This window comes from Homo sapiens, chromosome 16, assembly GCF_000001405.40.
Source record: "Homo sapiens chromosome 16, GRCh38.p14 Primary Assembly".
NCBI classification, from domain to species: Eukaryota; Metazoa; Chordata; class Mammalia; order Primates; family Hominidae; genus Homo; species Homo sapiens.
Window position 1 is genome coordinate 58439354 of NC_000016.10, and position 22793 is coordinate 58462146.

Below are 22793 nucleotides of genomic sequence, written 5' to 3' on the forward strand. Positions count from 1 at the left end.
TGAGACGGAGTCTCGCTCTGTCGCCCAGGCTGGAGTGCAGTGGCAGCAATCTCGGCTCACTGCAAGCTCCACCTCCCAGGTTCACACCATTTTCCTGCCTCAGCCTCCCGAGTAGCTGGGACTAAAGGCACCCGCCACCACGCCTGGCTAATTGTTTTTTATATTTTTTAGTAGAGATGGGGTTTCACCGTGTTAGCCAGGATGGTCTCGATCTCCTGACCTCGTGATCCACCCGCCTCGGCCTCCCAAAATGCTGGGATTACAGGTGTGAGCCACCGTGCCTGGCTGTAAATGACCTTTTTTAAAAAACAAAACAAAAAAAACTATTTTCTGTATAAGCCAGTTTAAATTTTTATCACATACAACAGTTGTAATACATGTTCGTACACAAACCAAGTGCAGATTTCTAAAAAAAATAGGGTGCGAACAAAAGACAACGGCGTCTCTAGGTTGCACTTGGTTACTTGTGGTAGGTGAGGGATTTGTTGATGAGGGGCAGATTTGTGATTACTGTTGGAGCTTATCCAATGCAGACAAAAGAGCTTCTCATCTAAGTGGCTTTGTGGATACCAGATAGAGCATGACCTTTTCCCCTTCCTTTTTGAGGGTGCTGCACAAGCTGGTAGATTGGTCCTTGGGAACCCCAAGGGGAGATGCCCCCATGCACCCCCTGAGGGGCCTTTGAGGTTAGAGACCTTCGATTGCCCCCCACCCCCACCCCTGCAGCTGTCTAGGATGGCCATAGGTCCAGGCAGGCTCACTTACCCAGCATTAACACACCAAACTCACCCGGGAATGGGATTCTTAGATCAAGAGAGGGGCAAAGAAAGAAGAGAAGGTTGGCAGAGTGACAGAAGGAATTTCATGTCCAGATGGGGAGTGGCAGGAAGCAGCTAGATCTGTTCTTAGTCAAGTAACAGAACTTGGCACCCATAGGGGCTCAATAGACTGGTGCTCTCATACATACAAAAGAACAAACGAAGGAACGAGTAGACCTCTCAGAGGAGCAGCATAGAGATGGCTATGATCCAGGAGTTTCTCAAGACTTTGGGATGCCATTTGGCAGAGTGTACCCCAAGTTTGTCATTCAGATTTTTGCCACATTTCCATGCTACTTCACTGTCACTAACTATATATATCTATATATACACACACATATATGTATATATATACATATATGTATACATGTACGTGTATATATATATATATAGAGAGAGAGAGATATATATATATATAGAGAGAGAGAGAGAGAGAGACTTGCTCTGTTGCCCAGGCTAGAGTGCAGTGGTGCAATTTTGGCTCACTGTAACCTCCGCCTCCTGGATTCAAGCCATTCTCCTGCCTCAGCCTCCTGAGTAGCTAGGACTACATGCCCACACTACCACGAGGGCTAATTTTTGTATTTTTAGTAGTGACGGTGTTTCACCATATTGGCTAGGATGGTCTTGAACTCCTGACCTCAAATGATCTGCCCATGTTGGCCTCCCAAAGTGCTGGGATTACAGGCATGAGCCACCGTGCCTAGCCCAATTTTGTTTTTAATGGATGAATGATCAAATGCATGAATTTTGTGCCTGTTTCCTCTAGGAAATTTGGTATGTTTGGAGGACAGGGTGTCTGCCTTCTTCCTGGCTGTAATCTCTGGTCTTCCTCTACATCTACTGACATCTTCTTTCTTCTTTCTTCTTCTTCTTCCTCTTCCTGTTTTTTTTTTTTTTTTTTTTTTTTTTTTTTTTTTTTTTTGACAGAGTCTTGCTCTGTTGCCAGGCTGGAGTGCAGTGGTGTGATCTCAGCTCACTGCAACTTCTGCCTCCTGGGTTCTGCCTCCTGTCTCAGCCTCCCAAGTAGGTGGGACTACAGGTACGCACCACCATGCCTGGCTAATTTTTGTATTTTTAGTAGAGACGGGGTTTGGCCATGTTGGCCAAGCTGGTCTTGAACTCCTGACCTCAGGTGATCTGCCTGCCTTGGCCTCCCAAAGTGCTGGGATTACAGGCATGAGCCACCACATCTGGCCTATTTTTATTTATTTATTTTAATTTTGAGACAGCGTCTTGCTCTGTCACTCAGGCTGGAGTGCCGTGGCACAATCATGGCCTACTGCAGCTTTGACCTCCTGGGCTCAAATGATCCTCCCACCTCAGCCTCCCTAAGTAGCTGGGATTATAAGCGTGCACCGCCACACCCAGCTAATTTTTTATTTTTTGTAAAGATGGGGTCTCCCTATGTTTCCCAGGCTGGTCTTGAACTCTTGGGCTCAAGCAATCCTCCCATCTCAGCCTCCCAAATTGCTGGAATTACAGGCATGATCCACCGCGCCAGGCTGATTTATGGTTTCTAATGGAGCAAAGACACAGATGACAGAGCAGGAGCACCATCATCTCAGACAAACACTGCCACTTTAAGCTCCAGCTCCCTTCTTAGCCTTATGCATTTTAAGGAAATCACTTCCCTTCTAACTACAAGCAGCCAGAAAGAGCAAACAGTGAAACACAGATAAAACAACTCAGGCACAGAGGGAGGTAGGGGGAAAGTCTCTTGGGTAAATGCTAAACTTCACCCTCATACAATGGGCTCCAGTAAAACAGTGGGCCTTAATAAGTACATTTCTTTCCCTTCAGGTGCACTAAAATAGGGATGGTAAAGGCAGACTCGGGGGGTATGTCTGCAGCTGCAGAAAGATGTATGGGAACAGACACACAACTCTCTCTCCCGAATAAGCACAACAAAAAAACACAAAAGCAGTCCGAGCCTGTAATAAACTCTCCTAACCTGAATCCTTAAAAACTCTGAGTCTGTAAAAAAGTGTGCCTCTAACCTAACTTGGCCAAACACCCCTCTCAGGTTTGTTTTCTCTAAAATAAACTTGTCTTAACTGCCAAGCCACCTTTCATGTTTCTTTCCTCTTTCTTTAATTCTTACAACTGACACTGTTAACACTACTGTAGTTTGTTGCTACAATGATAATTGAAGGAAATACTCAGTTGCAGTTAGAGGTTAGTGAAAAGAAAGATGGACACTTGTCTGTCCCTTGCTTTAAACGTAGGTTTTATTATCATTTAGCTATGGTGACACCAACAGATCAGGAGCTGACTGCTGTTGAAATGATAGCTTGCTACTCACAGATCCCAGAGGAGGAGGCACACCACGCCACGCAGGACAACATGGGGTTTGTCAGGAAGCAAAGCAAACAGGAGGAAAACTGGGCCAGGGCTTTTATTGTGGTTTTTGCAGGAAGGAATGGGTGAGACAGGGTACACAGGCTTCGAATTTGCCAGTTTGAATAATTTCAGGGGGTACTAGGGCATAGGGGCTGTCTCTAGTTGTCTGGAGGTGATTAGGGCTGGAGAAGAGTGGCCCAGTGTGTAAAAGCCCAATGCAGCAGGTGGCTGTGGTGTTCGGGCTCTGGCGGTTAGGAGAGTCATTTACTACCACTAGGAATTGGCTGGCCCTGCAAGGGGGAGTCTCTCCAGGGCCAGGAACGTCTCAGATGTCAAAACATCAGAAACATGTGATTAGTACACCCATCCAAATTCACAGGCTCCCTCACTTTTTACCCGTGGCCACCAGGGTAAGAACCCTATCTGAGAAAGCCCCCAGCTGAGAATGGCAGCATTAAAACCTGAGAGTCAGAGGTCTGAAACCCAGTGCCTTCCAGGGTCAGGATGACATCGGTGAGCCAGGTATAAAGGACAGCAAGGGGTGGCGACTGTGGGGACCCAGGTGTTCATGCCTCATAAAGCCAGCTGCTGTCAGCTCCAGCCAGTGGCTACCCAGTGTTGCCAAATCTTCTGAGCTTTCATGAGAAGCCAGAGATCTAGATTGTGTGTGTGCATGTGCATATGATGCACGTGAGAGAGAGAGAAATCTTGATTTTTTAATGTTTGCGATTCTTTAAAAAAAAATAACTTTGAGTAAAGCAGATTAATATATTAATAGTAAAAAAATTTTTTTTAAATTGTATAAATAAATAAATGCATCCCTGGATTGCAACAGACTTGGGGCCACCAGCTGGCAGCCTCTGCCTTGGTTTGTCCCCACCCAGCCTGTCTGGCTCCCCCAGGGTCCTTCTCATCCCCAGAGCATCCCTCATCTTGCTGTGGGAGACAGTGGCTCCGCTGATTCTGGGCTTGTTTCTTTTGCCTGTGAAATTAAACCTTAAATATTCTTCTAGGCTTAATTTTCAGTTGGCTATGATATTCTAGGGAGTGAGGAGAGGGTGTGGGATAATACAGCACAGCTTTTTTCAATGATTTCTTTTCCCCAAGAGCTTCATAACCTTTGAAGTTCAATCCCAGCTTTGCTATTTTTTAGCCTTAGGACTTTGGATAAGTCCCTAATGTTCTCAACCTTGGATTTTCTCACTTGTACAATGAGGCCAATGATAGTTCTGACCACCCAGGGCTGTTGTGTTCATTCAAGGACATGCTGCAGGCAAGAGAACCAGCTAGAAACTGTTGAGTGCTGTGAGCCAGAGCTATATGAGTCTTATCTCCGAAGTTGTTAATCCCACTTCGCTGATGGGCAAACCAAAGCACAAAGATGGATTCATTTGCACTGGGTGCAGAGACAGAGCAGGATTTGAACCAGGCAGGATGTCTGAACCCACAGCCTCATGATTAATCGCTAGGCTGAGCTGCCTCATGTCAAAGATCTCTCCTTTTACAGATCGGGGAGCTCAGATAAGGGCTGAGACTTTCTCAAGGTCTAATAAGGACTAGGACAAAAGCTAGTTTTTTACCAGACCTGGAAGCCAGAGAGGGGGTTTGATGGTCAATGGTGAGCAGACCAATTCTCTGTCCCTTCAGAGTGGACACATAATTGCAGCTTGATGACTCAGGTGAATGCTCATGTCTCTCCAGAATGAGGACATCCTGACATAGCCACCTGTGTAGCTCTGAGGCTCAACCGGGGTGGGGGGGAGGATAGATGCCTCCTGCTGTGGTTTGGATGCATCCCCCAAAAGTTCATGTGTTGAAAACTTAATTGCCAATGTAATAATATTAAGAGGTGGGGCTTTAGGAGGGGATTGGGTCATGAGGGTGGAGCCCACATGAATCATGAATAGATTAACGCCCTTATTGCAGGAGCGAGTTAGTTCTCCCAAGAGTGGATTGTTGTAAAATGAGCCTGGCTAGCTCTTGCAGGTTCTTTCACACATGCTCTCTTGCCCTTCACTTTTCTGTCATGTTATGATGCAGTACCAAAGCCCTCACCAGAAGCTGCCATCACACCCTTAGATTTCCCAACCTCCAGAACCATGAGCTAAATAAACCTCTATTCTTTATAAATTACTCAGTCTGTGATATTTAGTTATAGCAACAGAAAATTGGCTAAGACACCACCTAAATGCCTGACCCAGAAGTCCCTGTGCTCTTGGATCTGGCTCAAACCAAGAGGGACATACAAAGTGGAATATATGGCCCAGGCACTGTGGTTCACGCCTGTCACCCAGCACTTTGGGAGGCTGAAGTGGGAGGATCATTTGAGACCAGGAGTTTAAGACCAGCCTGGGCAATATAGTGAGACCATATCTCTACAAAAAATTTAAAAATTAGTTGGTATGGTGGCACATACCTGTAGTCCCAGCTACTCAGGAAGCTGAGATGGGAGGACTGCTTGAGCTTAGGAGGTTGGGGTTGCACTGAGCCATGATTGCGCCATTGCATTCCAGCAATAGAGAGAGACCCTGTCTAGAAAAAAAAAAGTGGAATATATGGATCAAAGGATTAATCATAAAATTAAAAGGCTTTAAAAACTTAAAAGGCTCTTTATCCAGCACAGTGGCTCACGCCTGTAATCCCAGCACTTTGGAAGGCCAAGGCAGGCAGATCACTTGAGCCCAGGAGTTCAAGACCAGCCTGGCCAACATAGTGAAACCCTGTTTCTGCCAAAAAATACAAAAATTGGCCGGGTATGGGGGTGTGTGCCTGTAGTCCCAGCTACTTGGGAGGCTGAGGAGGGAGAATTGCTTGATCCCAGGAGGCTGAGGCTGCAGTGAGCTGAGTTCATGCCACTGCACTCCAGCCTAGATGACAGAGTGAGACCCTGTCTCAAGCAATCCAGTAAAAAATGAGGAAAATATTTGAACAAAGGACTCACAAAAGAAGATCTATGAATAGCAAATATAGACAAGAGTTCAACATCATTACTCATCAGGGAAAGGCACATTTAAACCATAATAAAAAACTATGTTACTTTCACCAGAAAAGCTAAATTAAAAAGACTGACAGGCCAGGCACATTGTCTCATGCCTGTAATCCCAACACTTTGGGAGGCCGAGGCAGGGGGACCACAAAGTCAGGAGTTCGAGACCAGCCTGGCCAAAATGGTGAAACCCCATCTCTACTAAAAATACAAAAAAAAACTATCCAGGTGTGGTAGCGCACGCCTGAAGTCCCAGCTACTCAGGGGGCTGAGGTAGGAGAATGCTTGAACCCAGGAGGTGGAGGTTGCAGTGAGCCGAGTTTGCGCCACTGCACTCCAGCCTGGGCAATAGAGGGAGACTCCATCTCAAAAAAAAAAAAAAAGCCTGACAAGACAAAATGTTAGCAAGGACGTGGAGCTACTGGAAATCTCAGAACTCATTTATGGGAATGGAAAATGGTTCAATCACTTGGGAGAAAGTTGTGGTGGTATTTTATAAAACTAATTACAGGTTGGGCATGGTGGCTTATGCCTATAATCCCAACACTTTGGGAGGCTGAGGCAGGAGGATTACTTGAGCCCAGGAATTTGAGACCAGTCTGGGCAACATAGGGAGACCCTGTCTCTAGACAAATATGAAAATTAGCCAGGAGTGGTGGTGCACACCTGTAATCCCAGCTACTTGAGAGGCTGAGGTGGGAGGATTGCTTCAGACTGGAAGGTCGATGCTGCAGTGAGCCAGGATCACTCCAGCCTGGGTGACAAAGCGAGACCCTGTCTCAAAACAAAACAAAACTAAACTAATTATACCTTATGACCCAGAAATTCCTCTTAGCTAATTAGTCAATAAGAATTAAAACATATGCTCACCAAAGAAAATTGTACATGAATGTTCATAGCAGCTTTATTATAATAACAAAAAACTGGAAATTGCCCAGGTGTTCATTAACAAGAGTATGGATAAACAAACTGTGATCTAGCCATACAATGGAATACCACTCAGCAATAAAAAAGGACCAGGCCAGGCGCGGTGGCTCACGCCTGTAATCCCAGCACTTTGGGAGGCTGAGGTGGGCGGATCATGAGGTCAGGATATAGAGACCATCCTGGCTAACATGGTGAAACTCCGTCTCTACTAAAAATACAAAAAAAAAAAAAAAATAGCCAGGTGTGATGGCAGGCACCTGTAGTCCCAGCTATTTGGGAGGCTGAGGCAGGAGAATGGTGTGAACCCGGGAGGCAGAGCTTGCAGTGAGCCAAGTTCGCGCCACTGCACTCCAGCCTGGGCAACAGAGCGAGACTCCATCTCAAAAAAAAAAAAAAAGGAACAGCCAGCGATATACAAAACAACATGGAAGAATCTCATCAACATTACGTTAAGTGAAAAAAGCCAAACAAAAAAGTATATTCCATTTGTATGACATTCTAGGATAGGCTAAATAACATACAGGACAATTCCCAACAAGCAGTAATCATTTGGGCCACAATGTCAGTAGTGCTGAGGTTGAGAAACCTCAACTAAACTAATTTATGGTGGAAAAAACTAGAATAGTGGTTGTTGTCTCCGTGAAAGCAGAGATTGCCTGTGAATGGGCATGAAGGATGTTTTTCAGGTGATGGTAATGTCTCATATTTCAATATAAATTTTCATTACACAGGTGTATGCATCTGTCAAAACTTAGCAAATGTATATTTAAGATTTTTGCATTTATTTGTAAAGTTCATATTAAAAGAAAAGAATGGGTACAATAACTGGTACATTATTTGAGTGATGAATACACTAAAAGCCAAGACGTCACCACTGTACAAAATATATGTGTAACAGAATTGCAATTGTACCCTTAAATTTATAAAAGTAAAAAAAGAAAAAACTGAAAAAATAGTGAGCTTTAATGAATGACATGTGATAGGGGGATGGATGGATGGATGGATAGATAGATAGATCAACAGATAGATTGACCTAGTTCATAATTCTTTACATTAAATTCCCTCTGTCCAAATAACTGATGTGATTTCTGTCTCCCAGGTGGACCTTCATTGATGTATCCATTGAGCAGCCATTCTAGAAGGCAAATCTAATCATGCCATTCCCCTGCTTAAAACCTTTTAATAGTTCCCTATCTTCAAGTTAACCTCTTAGTCCATCATTCAAGGCTCCTAACCATCCAACCAACATCTACAAATGCATACTATATACTCTAAATTGTAATCACAACCAGCAACTTGCTATTTCATGGACACAAGCTTTTCCTATCCCCATCATCCCCAGGTAATTTTGCATATCTTCTTCCCTTTGCCCAGAATGTCTTCCCCACCTTCTCTACCTGGAAAACTCCTATTCTAAGTGTGAGTCACCTACTCTGTGAAGCCTTCCTTGACTTCTTCAGGCAGAGCAAAGATTGCCTCTTTTGGTCTTCCCCATTGCACTCCTAGAGCACTTGTCAAATTGTGTAACTGTTTGCATAACTGTCTCCCCCTAGACTAGGAGGTGCTCAATCCTGAGGCTCCATCCTCATTCCTTCTCGAATCCTTGAAGCCTAGAATACTGACTTGTATAGGGCGAAGCTCAATCCATGTTTGTTGAATGAAAAACACACAAACAGATCCACGCTACAGTCCACTTGCAAATTTACATAAGTCATGCCCGCGGGTAAACAAAAGTGATGTCTAAGATTTAACAAATGATAAAGTTTACATTTTAAAGCTCAAGTTTCATTCTATTTTTAGAAATATATGAACATAATTAATAGCCATGGTCTTGTTTTCTCTTTTGGCATCGAGTTTTGCTCATTTTCAGAGGGGTCTGCTTCTGGGAATGGCTTTAACAAGTTCATAAAAGCCAGACTCATCTGAGGCTTTGCCTAAAGGATAATATTTATCTTATTGAATTAACTTTATTTTTAATCACAATAAATGTTGGTTTGTTTTTTGTGGTTTTGTTGTTGTTTTTTGAGAATCACGCAGGCTGAAGCACAGTGGCGCGATCTGGGATCACTGTAACCTCCGCCTCCCGGGTTCAAGTGATTCTCCTGCCTCAGCCTCCTGAGTAGCTTGAATTACAGGCGCCCACCGCAATGCCAGGCTAATTTTTTTGTATTTTTAGTAGAGATGGGGTTTCACCATTTTGGCCAGGCTGGTGTCAAACTCGTGACGTCAAGCGATCTGCCTGCCTTGGCCTCCCAAAGTGCTGGGATTACAGGCTTGAGCTACTGCGCCCGCCTTAATCACAATACATGTATTCTTATTTTATTATTAAAATTATACAGACTTTGGAAACTACAGTGGAAAATAAAACAGATAAGTATAAAGAAGAAACTAAAAATTCCCTTAAAATCCACCACCTGGATATAACCACTCTTAGCATTTGGTGAACCAAATGCACCAGTAGGAGCTCAAGCTGCTTCTTTCTGCCATGATCTGGTAGGTTATATTTTTCAGGGTTTCAGACTGGCTCTCTTATGTCCTGGCTGACTGCTGAGCCTCAGCACACAGAGAGCCAAGGCCTTGCCCTTGGTGAATAGACACCCCAGTCATAAATCACAGGTCTCCGCTCTGAAATCCATCGGGCTTGTGTGAGCATGAGTTCAAAGAAGAAAACAATGATCAGATAATATCTGCTGAGTAATCAGTCCAATGACAAGTTGAAAAAACACACTCATATTTGAAAAACAGGATTATTGAATTAGCAAAAGGGAACATATTAGACAGCAGGTCTGAGTTTCCAAATGTCTTTTTGAAATAATTAACTCCAGGAAGTAGGGATGGAGTACATTCATTGCAAATGGGAACGGCTGCAGGACTGCTAGCTAGAAGGCGGCCCTGGGGAAGGGGTGTACAGAAGAGGGCTTGGGTGAGGGGCTATCCTATGAAACCAGGCATTTCTACCAATATGAAAAGGCTCTCGGCAGAGTGGTTAAAAGTGTGGGCTTAGAGATCCAGGCTCGAGTCTTTGCTCCACCACTGACCAGCTGTAAGACTGTCAGCAAGTTAAGTTTTAACTTCCTCAAGCCTTGGTTTTCTCATCTGTAAAATGGGAATAATCTAAATTCCTAATTGATGGGATTGTAGTGACAACTATATAGAACTTTTCAGATGGATTCGCAGTCCATGGTGAGCCCTTGAGGCTTGCTGATGATGATTGTGCTTGTTCCTATGAAGAATGAGATGGAAGAAGGGCAGGTGTGTGTTCACAAGGGGCACAGTTGATTCTGGATTAAGAGGGCATTGAATGTGGTGAAGGTCACTGAAATCACTTGAGACCTTAGACTCTTGCTGATTCACTATAGGAAAGAAATCACACAATGAGATTTAAAGCAGATGAAGCCGGCCTCCAGAATCTCTTAAGAAAAAATAAAAGGCAGCGGTGTGTGGGTGGGGGGGTGCTCCTGGTAAACCAGTGAGCTATTGCTGCAAGACTATTCTCCTCCTCTGCCTCCTATTTACCAGGCACCCACTAGCCCAACAAGGCACAGGATGCAATGACGAAATGCTGGCACTTGGGGCTTGTGGCTTCCTGGACACCAATCACACTGTTATCTAAGTTGTCTCATCGCCCTAACAGCAGACTTTTCAAGTTGTGCTCCCAAGACTGGGGAAGACTTTGATGTAGATCCAGCATCACTTACCTGTGCCTCCAGGATGAGGCATCTGCAGAACCAACGTCAATTGACCTGGATCCAAGAACAGTTATGGTGATTGGAAATTGATCAAAATACGGAGATCAACGATGCTCAATAGGAGGAAGAGAGAGATGGCAAGGTCTGGGAAAGCTCGTTCCTTTAATTCTCAGGGTCTTAGGATGGAGGAGAAGGAGCCTGGAGACAGGACTCTGGAAGTCTAGAACTCTTCCCAGGGGTATCTGGGCAATCCCCAACAGAGCACTTGGTCTCTAATTTCTCAGAGTGGCCACCTGCTTTGGACTCACTCAGGAAACTTATTAAGGATACAGATGCTTTGGTGCCCTTGTCCCCAACCAACCAGGGTCCCAGGGTCAGGACTCAGGGGTTTTGTGAGTCACAAGGTCTCCAGATGATTCTGAGACTTTCAACCAGAGACTTTAAAGTAGGGAGGAGAAACCAAGATGCCTGTCCTTCGGCTTTATGTGCTAACACTTGCCAAATGCCTTCAAATCTGAGGAAATGGGAGGGAAGAGTTCAGTTCAAGAAGGGAAAACTTCGGCGATGACCTGGGGTTTTCACTTTTATTTTCTAGAATTCCATAATTTTAGCCATGGCTTTAAGCAACTGCTCAATTCAGCTATTGCCCATTTTATAGACATGGAAACTGAGGTGAAGATGACCAAACTCCTGCCTAAAGCCCAACGAATTCTGCCTGTGGAACCCTGGGCTTCTCCTCTCCTCCTGGTGTTCTTTCTTCCACAAGTTTGTGATCCAAACGCATGCATCGTCAAAAGCTCATTTTCAGTGTTTGCTGTCCCTCAGGCTCTGTGCTGAATGCGTTCTATGCACTCTCATTTAATCTTCATCATGATTCAATGATATAAAGAGAAGGAAAATAATGCTCAGAGAGATTCAGCAATTTGCTCAACATCACACAGCTCCAAAGCTGTGGGATCCCAGGGTTCCCAGGGGCCCTGCTCCCAACCTTAACTCTAGATCTAAGCACCTCTTCCCACCCCCCTGGGTGACAGGGAAGAAGAAAATGACCCTTGCTGGTTACACTTTCAGTTATGAGACCCAGAAGAGGCAATGCAAATGGGTTCAACCATGAGTGCTTAAACAACCCCTCCCACATACAACACACACACACCCTCCTCTCAAGACACACATACACGCACATGCACACACACCATCCACACCCTCTATGCCACCCCTGCACATGTCAGGGTGAGGGCATGGAAAGCTTGGAATTCACCACTACCCTTGCTTTGCTCAGCAAGTCAGGAGCCTGCTGAATATGTCAGCTGGCTTGGCAAAGAGGAATCTGTGCTCACAAGGTGGTTCTGGTGGGTGGGACGGGACAGGCTGTGCCACACACCAGGAGCCTGCAGAGACCCAAAGAGGGAGCAGCTGGAGAGGAGAGCAGAGAGTGGGGCTGGCAGGGGGTTGGGGGGGGGGCACCATTGATCTTCTCCAGGGGACACTGAGGTCACAGCTCTGGCAGGCAGCATCTGGATGCCTGCAGGAGGTGGGTAATGGCCCATAAATAATGCACCAGGACAAGACGGGGGCAGCCGGTGGGAGTGGGCGACTCTGGACTTGGAGGCAGGAGACCCCAGAAGGAATCCCACCCTCATCTTGGATGGTGGATGGGTGGGTGTCTCCCTCTCTGGGCTCTGTTTCCCAAAATGTGAGCCAAGGGCACTCATCATCATAACCAGCCACTGTGAGGATGACAAGAGAAAACAGGAGAATGTGTCATAAACAGAAAGGCCTGATCCAAATGGGAGATGGTATTGTAGGGGAGGAAGAAAAGATTCCTTTTCCTTCCATCCTCCTAGATTTTCTGGCTGGGGTCCTGTAAACCAGGCTGACAAAAGACAGATTAACAAGAAAAAAAACAAGCAGAAGTTTATCAATATGTGCATCATGCATACACATGGAAATACTCAGGGATGAGTAACTCAAGGGAGTGGCTAGAACTTGGGCTTATACAGCATCTTGACAAAAGAACAATAAATTATTAGAGAAGTGACAAGACAAAGTGAAAGGATTTAGAGCTTCTAGGGAGGCAAGCTGTGGGAGGGTAAATATATGGAGAAGCTAAGGGAAGATAGGGTGGGTGAGTCAGGTTTGTTTTGTAGATTCCTCTGGTGCCCTCTCTGGGCTAAAGGTCCAAAGTTGTCTATGTTGATTAACTTCTGTTCTTCCTGGCAGAGAGTGAAGAAGAGCTACTTTTACAAATTTATATCCTGCTTTTAGGCAAATAGCGGGAGGCCAGAGAGTTTTTCTTGTATCTGCTTCTTTTCAGTTGACTTCAGTTCAAAATAACCAATGTGCTAAAATGGCATATTTTGGTATATAATTATTAAATGTTTGTACTATTATACTATTACATTAACAGATATATAATTATGATATAATTATTATTCCATCTAGAGAGGCAGTAAAGCATAGTAGTTAAGAGACTCACAGCTGAGCGTGGTGGCTCAGGCCTATAATCTCAGTACTCTTGGAGGCTGAGGTGGGAGGATGGCTTGAGCCCAGGAGGTTGAGGCTGCAATGAACCATGATTGCACCACTGCACTCCAGCATGGGTGACAGTAGGAGACTCTGTCTCAAAAAAAGAAAAAGAACAGAGACCCTGGGCCCACAGTGCCTTTGTTCAGACCCAATTACTGGCTATGCGAGTGGGCAAGTGACTTCCTTTCTAGGCCTCAGTTTCCTAATCTGTAAACTGGGGACAATGATGGGAGCCATCACATGGGGCTGTTATGAGGACTCAATGGGTTAAGGATGTGCCACTCTTGGAACAGTGTCTGGCATGGTGGAGGAGTACACGAGGGCTGGCTGTTCTTTCCTCTGGCAGGCAGGCAACATCGTGTTGCCTACATAATGGGCTGTTGGGCTGATGTTGTGGGGGGCTTAGGATCCTGTCTGGCAGAGGGTCTAGACTCAATGCATGGTAGCCCTAATGATTATGCAGGGACCCCAGGCCTGAGGCCATAGGTGGTCCCAGGATGCTGACATCTACCTGTCCAGCATCACTACTCACTCATTAGCCTGTGACTCCCTTCCCTAGAAGGCCCCTGGTGTCACTCTCTGTGATCCATCCAGCCCAACCTGCTGAGCCAATGGTTCTGTCTCAGAATCAAATTCTGACCCACATTGAGACCTCCCAGTTAGACCCCAAAATATAAATTTTTTAAAAGCACTTTTTTGTTATGCATCTTTCCTGATAGTAAGTGGGTGCTTATAGCAATACTCCAGTGCAATTCAACCATCATATGATAAGTGACCACTAAGGGTCAGATGTGATTCTTGACATCAGGGATAGGGCATTATATTCACTTTTTTGTGGAAGCTGTCAAAAATCACATTTGTGGGCCGGGTGTGGTGGCTCATGCCTGTAGTCCCAGCACATTGGGAGGCAGAGGCGGGTGGATCACCTGAGGTCAGGAGTTCAAGACCAGCCTGACTAACATGGTGAAACCCCGTCTCTACTAAATACAAAAAAAATTAGCAGGGCATGGTGGTGCATGCCTGCAATCCCAGCCACTTGGGAGGCTGAGGCAGGAGAATCGCTTGATCCCAGGAGGCGGAGGTTGCAGTGAGCCAAGATTGCCCCATTGCACTCCAGCCTGGGCAACGGAGCAAAACTCCATCAAAAAAAAAAAAAAAATCACATTTGTGGCTTAAAACAACACAAATATATTTGCTTACAGTTCTGGAGGTCCTCAGTCTGAAATGGGTCTCTCTGGGCTGAAATCAAGATGTCGGCAGGGCTGCCCTTCTTTTGGCAGCTGTAAGGGAGAATCCCCTTCCTTCCCTTTTCCAGCTTCTAGAGGCTGCATGCTTTCCTTGGCTTTGTGGCCCTTTCTCTATCTTCAAATCCAGCAACACTGTCAAGCCACATCCTTCTCACACTGCCATTTCTTTGGTTCCCTCCTGCCTCCCTCTTCCACTTTTGATGACCCCCGTGATTACCTTGGACCCACCTAGATAATCCAGGATCATGTCCCTATTTTAAAGTCAGCTGATTAGCAACTTTCATTCCATCTGCAACCTTCCTTTCCCTCTGCCAAGTAACATAACATATTCAGAGGTTCCAGGGATTAGGATTTGGGGGGGGGGGGGGTTATTCTGCCCACCACAGGTACTAATATTTGTTTGTTGTCCGTGGTCCATGGTATTCCCAGCTTGCATTGCCACTTTACAAACATTCATCTACTCATTCATTCATTCATTCATTCATTCATTCAGCAAGGACTGGTGGAGGGCTCCCATCTACTAAGTATCTGGGGCTAAACAGTGATCAAGCTTCCTTGCCCTCAGGAAGCTCATCGTTCAGGGCACAGATGAAATTGCACACAGACAACCACTGTATGGAGTGAGGGAGGGTTGTTGAGCCACCAGCTTCACTTCTGTGTATCTGTTTCTTCATCTGTAAAATCAGAAAAATAAAGCTACAGCTAGCTCTCTAAATATTGAGTGAGTCAAAGGAGATAACATATGTAGGTAATGCCCTCTGCATTATCCCTGGCACAATAAATGGCAGATTATTATTACAACAAAGCAGGGGGCTCAAAGGGGGCCCAGAGGAGGCGAGTCAGGGAATGAAGGGGTTAGTTGAGGTCTAAATGGACACTCCAGAGATAAATGGGAGGTGTAGAAAATGGAAGGAAGAGGTCTCCAGACAGAGAGAATGCACATGCAAAGACCCCACGGTGAACAAGCCCCTCAGTCCTCACAACCCCAAAGCCCCACCAGCTCTCTTCTCGTCATGTGCATGAGTTGTGCTCCCTCCCCAGAAGTCTTGAAGCCCCAGGACCCCCCTGACTTCTCAGCACCCAGTTCCAAGGCAGCTGGATGTGTCACAGCACCTACTGCACTCATCACAAGGATTCTCTTTGCCCCCACGCTTTGCACCTGAAACTACGTGATTCATCGTCCTCACAGCTACTAATCAATGGATTCAAACGGCACCAGGCCCTGGGCTGTTACCCACTCACTAATTCCTCAAAGCTTTATCATTAGACCCACTTGAGAAACAAAGAGATCTGCAAGGTTAGGTTACTTGCTCCAGGTCACCCAGGTAGTGGATGGTGGAACCCAGGGCTGTCTGTCTCCAAGCCATGAAGCCTGCACAGGCCAGCAGCCCAGGTCTTTAATGCTCAGCTCTATGCATGGAGGATATATGGTGAGGAAAGCGGGGTGAGTTGAGACTTTAGAAGAATAGCTGTTCTGGCCAGGCGCAGAGGCTCATGCCTGTAATCCCAGTACTTTGGGAGGCTGAGATACGAGAATTGCTTGAGTCCAAGAGTTTGAGACCAGCCTGAGCAACATGGGGAAACCCTATCTCCACAAAAAATACAAGAACTAGCCAGGTGTGGCGACATGCACCTGTAGTCCCAGCAACTCAAGAGGCTGAGGTGGGAAGATCGATTGAGCCTAGGTGGTTGAGGCTACCGTGAGCTATGATCACACCACTGCACTCCAGCCTGAGCAATGGAATGAGACCCTGTCTCAAAAAGAAAAAAAAAAAAAAAAAAAGAATAGCTGTTCTATCCTAGGGTCATAGAGTCAGCCTAGTAGGGACCAGAGCCTGGGGCAAGGGGCAGGGCAGAGGCCACAGCACTTGCTAAAAAAGAACAGACTCCCTTCTTTGCCAGAATAAGTTGTAATAGTAATGAGTTCCAAGAAAAGAAAGGACAAACAGGCTTAGATGCTTAAGGGAGGAGGGTTCCATACCGTGCCCTCCCATCCTCAGCAGGGCCTGGTCCTGCCCAAGAGTAGGGACATCTGACTCAGAACCAGCACAGGAGCAGAGGGAAGGCTGAGCCTCTCAGGTCATCCCTTCCTTGACTGGAGACAAAGCTGTGCAGACAAACAAGAAAAAAAGCCCATGTTGGGTTCATGGTGTACACTTGTGGCTTCTGGTCCCTTCATTTTCATAGTCAGCGACATCAAGCCAACTGTTTTCTCTTGGAGAGCACAGACCTCCACCCACACTGTCATAATGTCCAAACTACCTTCTTGGCATTAAATCTTTCTTTTATGAAATCATGGTGATAACAGATGATTTCTGCGTGTATTAGGTAAAATAAATGATTGGCATCTGAACAGTAAAGAGTTAGCTCAGCAGGCTGGTATTGCTCAAACCCTGCACATTCCAAAGAAGGGGCTGGCCCTTGACTCCTTCTGGGAGATAACCTCAGCCCTTGTAGCATCCTGTTTGATAACAATGTTTTTGTACGTCTGGGGCCTCCTGGCACACTGTATCAGTTTGACCAGAGTTTATGCTAACAATGTAACTTGTGATGAATGCCTGTTTTTATTTGTCTGACACCACTGTGTCCGTTTGATCTCTGGGGGCCTGGAGACTGGTGGCTAAGGTTGGTCACATGGGTGATGCATACTTACATGACTGACCTCAATAAAAACCCTGGATGCTAAGGCTTGGGTGAGCTTCCCTGGTTGGTAACACCTTGCATAAGTCATCATACATTGTTGCTGGAAGAATTAGTGTGTTCCCAGGTGAATCCACTAGGAAGGGACACCTGTAAGCATGCACCTGATATCCCCGCGACTTTGTTTTTGTACCTTTTCTTTTTACTGATTTTGATCTGTATCCTTACACCACAATAAGTGATAAATACGAGTACAATGGCTTTTCTGAGTTCTGTGAGTCCTAGCAAATCATGAAGCCTGAGGGTGATCCTGGGGACTCTCAAGCCAGCATTCTAAGTTGGCTCCCCAGTTTCTGTTATTTGGAAACTTGATTGAAACCTGATTCAACCCAACCCTGTTGTCATGGTGCTCAGGACACTGGGGAAGCTGCAGCCCCTGAGAACGGAGAGTGCCCCTGGGTGGTGAGCCATAGAGCTGAGTCTGCCCCAGGTCTGGGGAGTGGCCCATGCCCAGCTCTGTGGGTGGCTTTAGCTCAGGCCCAAGATGAGGCTGGGCCAATGACAACCCAAGAAGGATGAGCCTGCCAAAAGGGGGCCCCTCTCCAGCTCTTCAGGAGAGATGTTTCTCTGGACATACGGGTTTTCCTAAGGAAAGAGAAGGCTTTGCCCAGCTCCAAAGAGCAAGTCTCATCTTTTCGTCTGCTTTCGGCCAGATTCCTACCTGTCCTAGAAACTCCCTGGAGCCCACAAGGGAAACCGTGCCTCCCCTTTTTCCCCTTCGGGTTCTCCCCTCCTGCAGAGAGCAGGGTAGGTCAGCCCCTCAAGCACACATTTGGGCTGCAGGAGCACTATGATGGAGGAGAGCCTGGATGGTCACCCGCCACTCTCCATGAGGGGTGCTTTTCCCTAGACCAAGTCCCACCTTTCAAGGGAAACTGAGACAAGGAAACCTTAGCTCTGGTCCACGTGACAAAGTGTAGAGTTTAAAACAGAAGCTTCTGAAACTGAGGTCAAATAGTTCATCCCCGGCCTGCCTCAATTTTTTTTGGTTGTTGTTGTTTTATTTTGAAATGATTGTAGATGTACAGGAAGTTGCAAAAAAATTAGTACAGAGAGGTCCAGTGTAGCCTTCATTCAATTTCCCCCAATGATAACATCTTACATAACCATAACAAAGATCAGGCTGGGCACGGTGGCTCACGCCTGTAATCCCAGCACTTTGGGAGGCCGAGGTGGGTGGACTGCTTGAGGTCAGGAGTTCATGACCGCCTGGCCAACATGGTGAAACCTTGTATCTACTAAAAATACAAAAATTAGCTGGATGTGGTGGTGCACATCTGTAGTCCTGGCTACTCCGGAGGCTGAGGCAGGAGAATCACTTGAACCTGGGAGGCGGAGGTTGTAGTGAGCCAGAATCAGGCTGCTGCACTCCAGCGTGGGTGACAGAGGGAGACTCCATCTCAAAAACAAACAGACAAACAAACAATAAAAACACACACACACCATAATACAAGATCAAAACAAAACCTCAGGCTTTGAAATGAGGTGGAGGTTGTAGTGAACCAAGATCGTGCCATTGCACTCCATCCTGGGCAACAAGAGAAAAACTCCATCTAAAAAAAAAAAAAAACAAAAAAACTAATACAATGTAAATGCTGTGTAAATAGTTGTTATGCTGTATTGTTTTTTATTTGCATTACTTTATAGTTACATTATTTTATTTTTTAATATTTTTGATTTGTGGTTGGTTGAATCCATGGATGTGGAACCCATGGACACAGAGGGCCACTGTATATATGTGTGTGTTTGTGTGTGTGTGTGTATATGTGTGGTGTGTGTGTGTGTGTGTGTGTATGTGCGTATGTATATATATAAAGCATTGAAGATCATACCCCCAAAATGTTAACACTGCCTATTGTTAGGCAGTGGAATTATTAGTGATTTTTATTTTCCCCCTGCATAAGGTTTATGCATTGAATATACATAACTATTATAATTTGTAAACAATATTATCAGTTCCACCTCTTGCCTTGACTCAGCACCAACTGGGTTTCCATGAGCCTGCTAAAGTTTCCAGGGGAAGTGGAGGGACATTTGCAAATGGCACTGGAGGGGGCTCTACTGTCCTCAGGAACCGAGGAGACAGTGGGGTGTCCAGAGTTACCAGGATAGCAAGGGGCTGGCCCTGCAGGGCAAAGGGCCCTTACATATCATGGGAGAAAGGGGATTGCAATAAAACCAGTGAGTCGTCCACGGTGGCCCAGGAGCAGGGAGCAGATAATCTGGTAACTGGTGAAATTCCAGAGCCAGGCTGAGGCCGGGAACTCTTCCCCACCCGCTTCCTCGTTCCAGCTTCCTCACCATCTACTCATGCATACCCAGGCCTCTCCACCTCAATTCAGGAGCTCCCATTGAGGGGCAGGGCTGCAATGTGCTTAGCTCTGTGCCTCCCTGAGCTCAGCACAGGGCCTGGCTGATCCAGTGTAGGATGGATGGATGGATGGATGGATGTTCTCTCCCTTTCGTCCGCCTCCCATCTCCATCTGCTGATCTTCCACCTCTTGGGGGCTCAGATGCCTCTTCCTCCAGGAAGCCCTTGCTGAGTCCCCTAGGCCTCCACTGCACTCTATGGTAACATCAATTACTCATCTTAGTAGAGTCGGCCTGGTACTGAGATTATGGGACTCTGAGCTGGTTTCCATCAGTGCATGAACCTTAAAGTCAAGGTCAATGTCCTGATCAGCTCTGTTCTCCATTGAACCCCACAACACCAAAAAGACGCTCAATCAATACTATGAAAGGAAAGAAAGGAGCCTCTCTTCTCTCCCTGAGTGTGGCTCAAGATTCGGAAGTAGGGAGTGTTACTGGGGAGGGGGAGACAGTTCCTATCTCCCCCACCCCTGCTAAGGGAAGAAGATTCATTGGCCCCAGGTTCATCATCTGCACCTCTGACTCCATCAGCTGGTTCTTTCTACTTGCTCCCAGTCATGGTCACGAGGGGATGGTGACTCAGCCCAATTCATCACCACAATGGAAAAACCCAGTCACCTGTCCTCCTGGCAGCAGGACTGGAGCTGCCTCTGTCTGTGGAAGGGCAGCAAGCCATACTGTTTTCAAGGTCCTTTTGTCTTTTACCTGCTGAAAAATCAAAAATTTAAAGAATGGAGGAGTACCACTGGTTTACATTTACAGTGTGGTATGAATCTCAACAACGAGGGATCGTTGAGATCCCTATGTTCCCTCCACGCCAGGCTCCAAGTCAAATGTCCATGTGCATCATCTTACAACAGTTTCACAAGACCATTGTTATCTGAAGTGGTCACTGGTCACTCTTGGCCCCCAGCAGCTGACACACCCTTTCTACAAGGCAGAGCCCACCTCCCACTAGAGAAACTGAAAACATCTTTCCCCAGCTTTGCTTACAGCTTTGCCAAAGTATATGACCTATGCTCCTCCAATCAGACATCCCATTCTATTTATTTATTTATTTATTTATTTACTTATTTATTTATTTATTATTTACCGAGACAGAGTCTGTTCTGTCACCCAGGTTGAAGTGCAGTGGTGCAATCTCATCTCACTGTAACCTCCGTCTCCCAGGTTCATGCGAGTCTCCTGCCTCAACCTCCTGAGTAGCTAGGACCACAGGCGTGTATCACCATGACTGGTTACTTTTTGCATTTTTTGTAGAGACAGGGTTTTGCCATGTTGCCCAGGCTGGTCTTGAACTCCTGGGCTCAAGCAATCTTCCTGCCTCAGCCTCCCAAAGGGCTGGGATTACAGGTGTGAGCCACTGCACCTGGGCGTGTTCTGTTCTTGGTTGTTAATTAGAAACTAGTGGCACGAGGAAGCCAAGACCACACAGAATCCACTGCGGTGAGGACTGGGGAAGCAGCAGCTGAGTTCCTGATGGCAGTGCCCAGTGACCACGTCCAGGGGTGGCACTGGCTGCAGCTTCTGTGCTGGGGGATGGCAGTAGTGGTTTTAACATCAGGCCAACATAGCAGTGTCAGGCCTGGCACCTGATATTCCAAGAGATGCCCACCCTCCTTTTTTTTTTTTTTCTTTTTCTTTTTTGAGACGGAATCTCACTCTTTTGCCCAGGCTGAAGTGCAGTGGCAGGATCTCGGCTCACTGCAACCTCTGCCTCCTGGGTTCAATCAATTCTCCTGCCTCAACCTCCCAAGCAGCTGGGATTATAGGCGTGTGCCACCACACCTGGCTAATTTTTGTATTTTTGGTGAGGTTTCACCATGTCGGCCAGGCTGGTCTTGAACTCCTGACCTCAAGTGATCTGCCCGCCTCAGCCCCCCAAAGTGTTGGGATTACAGGGTGAGCCACCATGCCCGGCCTATCCTCCTTTTAACAAAGCCTTTTTCTGCTTCAATTAGCCAGAGTAGGTCTCTATTTCTTGCAATTAAACACCCTGACTAGATATATCAGCCTGAGTTTACAGATGAGAAGTGAAGGCTCATTTGAGATCTTTAGAAAGGTTATCTCATCTCCGACCTGGGTGCAGGCCAGTGATCTTCTGCCCATTTTACAAGGCAGTGACTTAGGAAGCATGTTTCAAGTAATTAGGAGCAAGGCTGGGGGGACACTTTCTTAGAGGCCTCCTGTCCCAGGCAACAGCTTGGCTCTCTGCACTGTTCTGCTTTTCACTGTTAATCCAACCTGCTCCCAAACATCACCCCTCCTCCGCAGAGTGCTGAAGATGAAGAGAGCCCAGCGGCACAGGGGACCCAGAGCTTGCCCTTCTGCTGACTCAGTAGTGACTCCGCTGCCTGTCATGACTGATGTTTCCAGAAGGGTCAGGGCCTCCTCAACCTACCTCTTCCTTATGCACCTTTGTTTGATGCAATAGCCCTGGGGACTCTCACGATTACGTTTCTTCTTCATCTATTGTCTCCACTTTTATTTATTTATTTATGTATTTTTTAGACTCTATCACCCAGGCTGGAGTGCAGCAGCGCGATCTCGGCTCACTGCAACGTCCGCCTCCTGGGTTCAAGTGATTCTCCTGCCTCAGCCTCCTGAGTAGCTAGGATTACAGGTATGTGCACCACGCCCAGTTAATTTTTGTATTTTTAGTAGAGATGGGGTTTCACCATGTTGGCCAGGCTGGTCTTGAACTCCTGACCTCAGGTGATCCACCCACCTCGGCCCCCAAATGTGCTGGGATTACAGGCATGAGCCACCGCGCCCGGCCCTACTGTCTCCACTTTTAGGAGTTCAAATCCACAACCTGACTCACTGGAATGCTCACAGGAGTTCATGAACTATCTGAGCTACATGGATAGTCTGCATGAGTTCAAGGCCACTGCAGACACCATGTCTCAGACAGGCGTGTCATAGTGTCAAAGCTCCTGTTAGGCAGCCTGCAGAACAGCCTAGGCCCCGTGAATTATGTCACTAGAACATCAACAATTAATTTTGTCCAATGACAAAGTCTGAAATGACTGAAAAGGGTAGGACTCAGGTAAGCCTGAAAGAATCTCTCATGCGATAATAACAATTTCATCATGAATAATAATAATGACCATGTATTGAACACTTAAACTTAAGTCATGCGTCTGGCACTATATTAAGCATTTTCTTTATATTCTGTTATTTAATC

The 22793-nt window shown here is 46.3% G+C and overlaps 1 long non-coding RNA gene across 1 annotated transcript in view, besides 1 other annotated feature; it reads left to right on the forward strand.

Moving 5' to 3' along the window:
- The window catches only part of LINC02137 (long intergenic non-protein coding RNA 2137), a 41536-nt gene that overhangs the window by 18028 nt on the left and 715 nt on the right, over positions 1-22793 (forward strand). The window contains exon 3 of the long non-coding RNA NR_187253.1: positions 22118-22229. This is a non-coding gene — a long non-coding RNA (long intergenic non-protein coding RNA 2137). The remainder of the gene's footprint in view (positions 1-22117; positions 22230-22793) is intronic.
- Positions 20012-20306: an enhancer, noted in NCBI's record as "tiled region #12894; HepG2 Activating DNase unmatched - State 9:DNaseU, and K562 Activating DNase matched - State 8:EnhW". NCBI's record gives its function as "activates a minimal TATA promoter and a strong SV40 promoter by Sharpr-MPRA in HepG2 and K562 cells {active_cell/tissue: HepG2 | K562}" and the evidence as "EXISTENCE:reporter gene assay evidence [ECO:0000049][PMID:27701403]".